This window comes from Homo sapiens, chromosome 6, assembly GCF_000001405.40.
Source record: "Homo sapiens chromosome 6, GRCh38.p14 Primary Assembly".
NCBI classification, from domain to species: Eukaryota; Metazoa; Chordata; class Mammalia; order Primates; family Hominidae; genus Homo; species Homo sapiens.
This window is the reverse complement of record NC_000006.12, coordinates 33,880,888-33,889,510: the sequence shown is the minus strand read 5'-3', so window position 1 is coordinate 33,889,510 and position 8,623 is coordinate 33,880,888.

The window sequence follows — 8,623 nt, the reverse complement described above, 5'->3', positions numbered from 1 at the left end:
TTCTTCCAGACCTCAGTTTATTCTTTTATCTAGTCATTTTAAAGGGATTCTCTCAGACCCTCCACTAGCTAAGAGAACCGAACTTTTCTTCCAGAATTGTCAGGAAATGGGACTTACTGACTTAGTGAGCTACTTATTTTATCTAGAATTAACTGTGTCTAATAAAATATATATGCACTTTGGGAATGGATGAGGTGCTACACAAATGAAAGATGGTATTATTCATCATACAGTGTTTTTGATTATAATAGATTATTCTCTGCCAAAACCCAGAAGGGCCAAGTCGAGGTAGGTTGCTGAAAGGGGAGGAAGTCTAAATAGCAGAATCAGACTTTTCCATAAGTTTGCAGTGGCGTATGGACAACACTCAGGCAACCAGCCCTCGGCACAGCAACAGGGGACCCACCTCCTAAGTTGGGGCTGAGTAAAGACATATTCCCGGGGCAAGGCTTTGCCAAGGCAGGCCTCTTCTGAAACATAAGTCCCATCTTTCTCCCGGCCCCGCCACCCCACCTCAGATGTGCTGTCTAGAAGCTGCACATCTGGGGCCGTTCAAACTCCTGGCTCGAATCACTGGAATCATCTGAGCAGGATAATTTTACATTAATGATTAAAAATTGCTCTTCTAGATATAGCCTTGCCTCAGGGTAGCCATTAAGAACATTACTTCGTAATTTAAGAAGCTCAATGTAGGGCGCTTTGGGCATTTGCAAAGAGGGAACTGTACTCATATCTTGATAAATTGCAAAATGTCTCCCACCATCTTCTTGTTCTGTATCTCCTCTTCTGCCTTCTGCCATTGCACTCTCTGGCATATAATCCTTTTAAAGAATAAGAACAAAAACAAAAAAAAAAGGAAGATAATGAAAAGCCTATTGTTTCTTAGTGTCCGCTGATGTTAAACACGCACACGCATGCACAATTATGAATTTTGTGTATTTCTTCCGGGGGATGGAGCCATAAAGGGTTACACTTTGGTATGTGATTTTGGAGCCTACACTTGAAATGGGAATTTGAATGTAGTTGAACAGACTTTTAACATTGCCCCGAGAAGAATGATACTGGCATTTGCTTGTCTGCGGTGTCACACCCCGGAGTGTGGAGGATCCTCACCGGCTCTGTGACTCACCCTGGAAGTTGCACCTTTCTCGGGGGGCAGGGTGGGGAGTTACTTTTTATAAGTAAACCCCAGAGAGCAGTGTTTCCGTATCAATCAGTTTCTCAACAAGTTTGAGAGCAGATTGTGCCTCAATCCCTATCGTTGGGGATGCTCTCCAAGCTCTCCGGGGTGCCGCCAAGCCAGGATCTCCCATTCTGATGCATCCTGGGTCTCCTCTTCCCTTGCCCCTCTTCCTTGTTCTCCACTCTGAGCCAGCTAGACAGGTGAAGCAGAGAACCTGTCTAGTCCAAACTCCTTATTTTACAGATCAGGAGCGTGAGGCCCAGAGAGGGATTGCCCTTACCCCATCCTGCATCCCCTCTCCTCCTCTTCTGCCTTCACCCCAATACCTTCCAGCGTGAATGATGCCCACCCTGTCTCTCTTCTAGCCCCGCATCCTGCATTACTCTTTTCACAATATTTTTGAGTAAGTGGCCTGCTGCAATCTTATATTTGGCATGGCAAAGGCAGACCCCTTTCCCTCCCTCCAGACCCCCAGCTCAGCCACTGTGAGTGCTGTAAGGCCAGTCCCCACCTGTGTCCTTCTATTCATCACAAACTAAGCACATGCTACTTTATCTTTTATCTCCTCGTGTCCACAAAACAGGCCACAACCAAGGTCATGCTGCCAAACAGATCTGGGAGAATGGTAATTGACAATTCACGCTAAAAATTGTGTTGAACAAAAATTCTCTTCTATTAGAAAAATGACAGGAGAGACAACTTTGCCATTATGTTGCTTTCTCCTCAATCGGGACACACAAAAAATCTCAATAAAAATGTTATATCAAAGGCTCGCAAACATCATTCAAATCTTCCCTAACCCATTGCTTTCATTTGAAAAACGAGCATTTCATTAAAGACACTTGACAGGATGTTAATTTGTTGTGGGAATCTGTCAGTGTCCAAACAAATACTTGCATGTTTTGTGCAGATGAGGTAACCGCTTGTAGAATGGCAAAACCAGAAGGCATTTGGGTGACCTGCTTTGGCCTTTTGACTTTACAGAAGAAGAAACTGTTGCCTGGTGAGAGAAAGAGACTTGCCCAGGGCCACTCACTGGTAGTAGAACTGGGACTAGAACGAGAGCCTCCCAACCCCCAGGCAGGGCCCTTCCTTCTCACAATGGCAGAACCACAAGATATTGACAATGGAAAGGATCTTGGAGGTCTCCCTAACACTTCTAAATACTGAAAGGTTGGACCAACCACATCAAGAGAGAGCCAACTACGCTGAAGAACGTGTCATCACCTCCTGAGAGCTGCCTGAATTGGAGGCGCAGGTCCCAGGAAGTAGTGACTCCTCTTCAGAAGCTGGGTCTGCAAGCCTGTGCAAATGTGAGGTTTCCGGTTCCCTCCCTCCTCTGGTGGAAGCTGCTAGAGGGCAGACACTACGTATCTCGATTCTTTGCTGTCACCTTTCAGCTGTCAGCTCTGATGTTTCTTCATCCAACGGGTGCTGATGGAAGCTCCCCAGCTGCTGGGTCAGTCGCCAGCCATCTGAGGTGTCGACAGAGAAAGAGAAAGACCAGGAAACCATTTCTAACATAGTTGGCCCAGAGCAGAGAGTGAATCACCAGAAACAGACTGGAAGAGGCTATAAAACGAAAATAAAACAGGATGGTAATTTATGATGAGCAGTAAAAAGGCCTGGGACGCTGAACAGCTAGTGAAGGTTCATTTCCCTCTACTCTGTGGATCTTTAACCATGCTGAGCATTTCCCTGTCCAGCCTGGCAGCCCCTAAAATTTGGAAAGCCCTCTGTCCCCCACATCAAGGTGAGAAAGTAAGGCTGTCTTGACAGCCCTTGGTATACTGGTTCTCCTCTGCAAAAGCACCTGCCCACAGGGCCCCAAAACCCTTACGATAAAATCCATTTCCATTGTGCAACACCATATAGATGGTGAGGCACATTCCCACCCATTATCTCATTTGATCCTTACAGAAACTCTGGGAGGGGACTTCGTTTTTTTTTTTTTTTAAGAGACGGAGGCTTGCTCTGTCGTTAAGCTGGAGTGCAGTGGTACCATCTTGGCTCACTGCAACCTCCGCCTCCCAGGTTCAAGTAATTCCCCTGCCTCAGCCTCCTGAATAGCTGGGACTACAGGTGTGTGCCACCACACCTGGCTAATTTTGGGAAGGGCCTTTTATGAAGACATAAGGGTACTGAAAATCACTCACAGCAAATCAAAGACCCAAGACCTGACAAACCCCAGACCTGGACTCAGGACGACCCAACAACCTATTTCAAGATCAAAGTCTTTCTCAAACCTGCCCCATGAGCCTTGCTAGGAGCAGAAGACTTTGAAATTTAAGATATTAAGTGTAGGCTGTTCCCCTACTTCTACACTCCTCCCATCCACGAAGCCCCAAAGGCTGGAGCCCAGGTCCAGGACAAAGGGCACCCACAAAGAGCCTAAAGAGCCTCAAGGTGGAGTGAGCCAACTTGAGAGGGAGGCCAGCAAACCTCTCTGATGTCAGAGCCTTCAGGCAGTGATTAGGGCAGGCTACCTCTCTGCCTCTCCCTGGCCCTATCAGGGTGGTCACCCATGAGTCACTGAAGTTTATGGAGCCCATGGGCTGTCCCTGCTCTGAGGAGCCCAGCTGGGTCTCCACAAGGCCTGGCCAGGTATCCCAAAGGGCTAAGCCAGCCTCTTCCCCACTTACTGGTGGGTGTGAATTGCTCCTAGCTGCCTGTACCTGTCGACCTCTCGTCCTGTGCAGGGGGGGTGGTGTGTGCCCTCAAGCTCCCAATCTACAAAGTTCAAAAGTGAGGGCATGCAGCAACTGGTGAGAGGGCATCCTTCCAAGCTGGGTTTAGAAGGTGTCTGAATGAGGAGGGAGGTGCCTGGAAGCAGAGCGGCTCTGGACACCCTCACATTCGTGTGGCTGTTTCTTGGGTTGACCTGGGGGTCTTCCTATGGGACTGTCCCTCTGTAGTATGGTGGAGTAGGAGGGAAGAGGGCCAGAGCTGAGAGCTCTGGGGTGGAGTCCAGTGCCAGTCCTACCACTGACTCATCATGTGAGTCACCTCTCTTGAGACCCAGTCACCTCTACTTGTCCATTTTATAGTACCCTTGGAAAGTTCCCATGAGTTAATGGGTATGGAAGGACCTGGTAAATAAATCAAGTGCCCCTGAGTTGTAGGGTGCTATAACTATCATTAGCTGAGCAAGGAGGTTACCAACAGCCCCATCCCATTCCTGATGCATCTTGGGGCTATTTATGGCGAGTCCCCAGGCCTGCTACCGCCATCGTGTCCTCAGCACATCAGGGCTTGCTTGTTCACATACCCCTCCCTGTGTACAAGCCTGAAACTCAGGGAAAGCAAATGCAACTCCACATCAGGCCAAGGTAGAGGACCCGAGGGTCACTGATCCCGAATATTCCCAAGCCCACTCCCTACCCCCACAGACATCCTTTCTTTTTAATCATCCTCTCCCCATGATTCCTCAGAGGAAGGAGGAGGCCACCCAGCTCAGAGCCCTGTTCTGCTCTCTGCTCATCTACCTGAAGCTCAAACTGTCCTGATCTCCATGCTTTTCAAGAACAGGTGTCAGCAAAGACCTCAGGCATCCTCAGCAGAAGGCCTGAGAGCTATGGTCTCTAATTGAGGCTGTTCACCGGACGCTGACTTACCGGTCTGAAGACCTCAAGACCCAGAAGACCACTTCTGGTTACTAGGCTGGGCAGCAGCTGCCCTAAGCCTCTCTTTGGTATTAATTTCCTAATCTGCCCCAAGAACCCCAGGTTCTTCTTAGGACAGTTTCTGCTGGCTGTTCCCTTTTATTTAACCCAGAGTACCCCTTGGGTCACTTGATACTTGAGAGGAGAATTCTTTGTTAAGCTAGAGCACAGATTTCAAAAGTGATTTTTCAGGGGCGTGGATGCCACCACCAGGATCTTAGGGGATGGCCTCCCCTTGCTCCCCAAATGCCCAAATTCTGAACTCTTGGGTGTCCAACCCCACCCAGCCAGTCCCCAAAAACTGCTTCTCCTTCCTCTCTCTTGCTCCGCAACACCTCCTGGCCCCAACAACGCCACTATTCCTTGAGTGGTTTGACATAAGTGAAGTAACAGGTATAAAACTGAGTTTTGAAGTAATTGACGCAAGAATTTGGACTCTGGAGAACTTCCCAGAGGAATGAAAATCAGCAACGTGGTGGCCTATTTGGAAAAGACCTGCCATGATGAACAAACCCTAACAATGCTAAGCAGGTCTGTCTGCTCCTTCCAATTCCTTTTTTTTTTTTTACATCTATTGTGCACTTTATTTCTATTATTACTACATTGTAATACATAATGAAATAATTACACAAGTCATCATAATGTAGAATCAATGGGAGTCCTGAGCTTGTTTTTCTGCAACTAGATGGTCCCATCGTGAAGAGATAGGAGACAATGACATATCATCAGGCATTAGAGTCTCATAAGGAGCATGTGACCTAGATCCCTTGAACATGCATTTCACAATAGGATTTTCACTCCTATGAGAATCTAATGCCTTTGCTGATCTGACAGGAGGCAGAGCTCAGGTGATAATGTGAGCAACGGGGAGTGGCTGGAAATACAGACGAAGCTTCACTCGCTTGCCTGCCACTCACCTCTTGCTGTGCAGCCTGGTTCCTAATAGGTCATGGACCTGTCCATGGTTTGCAGGCTGGGGACCCCTGCAAGGATCCAGATTTAAATTCAGAAGAAGCTTCATCTACTTCTGTAGTTCCATTTTCTTGCAATACCTGCTGCAGCAAACTTGAACATTGCAGGATTTTCTCAAGCCGCTCAATTTGGTCATCTTGCTTTTTAATAGTTTTTCTTATCACGGCATTTTCTACTTCAAGCCTTATTTTGTGTGCTGCTTCACATTGTATTTTTGTGCATGGCCTTCCGTCTCCATAGTACATCTTATAGTTGCTGTAAGTTGATCCTGTATTTCTTGAAAATTTTATTCTTAGCCTCAATTGCATAATCTTCTGCAGTCTTTCCATATGCATCTCGAGAAAACACATCAGTATTGTGCTGCAGAAGAAGAACGACTATATCTTTTTCTCCAAGATTAACAGCAAGTATGAGGGCTGATCTGCTAAGATAATCAATTGCATTTACATTTGTGTTTTTCTTTAATAAAACTTCCACCATTTTCAGTTTTCTTTGACTCACAGCAAGTAAAAGTGGTTGATATTCATATGAAGGACATTTTCCGGGGTGTCCATGGCCAGAGGACGCTGGCCGGCAGCGGTCAAACTTGAACCGCAAACTAGAAGCCACCGCCAATTCGAATCCCAATTCCTTTTTAAAAACACTATCAAAGAATGTGTGACAGAGAATCCACCCAGACTTGATGATCTGCACCTCTTCAGGGTAGCTGTGCCATAGAAACTGGCAAACTGCTGGCCAGGCGCGGTGGCTCATGCCTGTAATCCTAACACTTTGGGAGGCCGAGGCGGGCAGATCACCTGAGGTCAGGAGTTACAGACCAGCCTGGCCAACATGGTGAAACCCTGTCTCTACTAAAAATACAAAAATTAGCCGGGCATGGTGGTGCATGCCTATAATCCCAGCTACTCAGGAGGCTGAGGCAGGAGAATCACTTGAACCCAGGTGGCAGAGGTTGCAGTGAGCTGAAATTGAGCCATTGCACTCCAGCCTGGGCTACAGAGCGAGACTCCGTGTCAAACAAAACAAAACAAAACTAAACTAAACTAAACTAAACTAAACCTGCAAACTGCTTCTTGGTCTTGGTCTGGGCGTATTCTCCCAAATTCGCTAAAGGAAAGGATAGAAGTTTCTGTGGCCCAGAGCCCAGAACTGAGCATCCTGGAGCCCCTGCCAGAGGGTGCTGGCATCCTGCTAAGCATTCTTCTCCACCCTCCTCCCCAAAGTTCTGCAAAGGAGACCTCATCCAGGTGCTCCCCATGCTGGCTGTGGGCGCCAGGCTGATGGCCCTCCAGAACGGTGCCTTTGGAGGTTTACTGAGGCTGAGTGAAGCCAGAGTTAGTTCCCATCACTTGTGTCGACATGGATAGTTGGACTGCTGCCCTTGCTTAGGGGCCTTTCATTCTTCACTGGAATCCAAGTTACACTTCCGCTTCTTCGCTAGTTGGCTGCTGCATATCTAAGCTGCTCAGAGTCCGGCCACGGCAGTTCGTCCTGCACTTGCCAGGTGTTTGTAGCTCAAAGGCACCATGCTTGGCTCAGGGGGCTCCCACTCCCAGTACTTATGGAGCCCCAAGAAAGGAATGGCTAGGAATCCCACCCACAATGCTCCTGTAAGGCCAAGATAGAAAAGGCTGCCTTCAGGTGAGCCAGCTCGCCAGTCCTAGAATGAAGGCAGAATTCAGCCTAGGCCAATCTGAAGGCAGTTCTTTTTTTTTCTTTGAGACGGAGTCTCACACTCTGTCACCCTAGCTGGAGTGCAGTGGTGCTATCTCGGCTCACTGCAACCTCTGCCTCCTGGGTTCAAGCAATTCTCCTGCCTCAGCCTCCCATGATGGTGATTCTTAATTAGCAGGGCCTGAAGTAATGAGTCTCTCTCCCTTCTTTAACAATGCAGGTGAGACGCTCCCAGGAGCACAGATCCCGATGGGGCTGTCTGGCTTTTCTCTTTGCAGAATGCATTTATCCCCTGCCCCTGTTCCCCTCAACCTCCCTCTGTTTATGTTCAGGCTGATGTTTCTATTGATGTATTGATCTCTGCTAGCTGAGGAACATTTCTGCTGAACACACTCACTTGCTCAGTGGGGGGGCCAGAGGGGCAGGCTCTGCAGGGGGTGCCAGGGACAGCAGCCTCAAGTCTGGCCTAGGGTGGGGAAGGGTGACATCTCTGCCTGGGACAGAGATGTTGATGGGAAACAGAGAAATGATTACTTGTAAAGACAAAAGTGGGCAAAGGGAAGAACTATGATCAACAGCTGTGGCCTCCCATGGATGCCCTGGGGCACGGGGCCTCGTGTGGCATGGAGACGGACTGGCCTGGAATCGTTTTACTCCACTTCACTTTTGAGTGGATGCAGATCAGTCTTCCCACCTGCATAGGGAAGCTTTTTTCTCCTTACTCTTCGTCCATGGTTAAGAGACTCAAAATAACATGGGAATGTGTATTAAAACCTGTAAACTGCCAAAGGAATCAATGTGAGCTAGGATGCCTTGTTGCCACTACCTGAGGACCTGTGAGGTTTTTAGCTGAGTGTGATCTTGAGAGCATAGTTCTCCCCTTAGCAGCTGAATTGTTTGAAATGCTTGTTTTCCGGTGCCGTAAAGAAATCGTACTTGAACATAAATTTATTTAGCAAGGCCATTTTTACTTCCTGGAGGAAGGGTACACTCGCCAGCAGTTTTGCCACGAGTACACCGAACGAAGGAGACAGGGTCATTCATAACCTGACGCGTCCACCCTACTGCTGTATCCGGTTTCCACTGGCTGGAACGGGACCTCACGTTCTGTATTTGTCCTGATTGGCTAGCA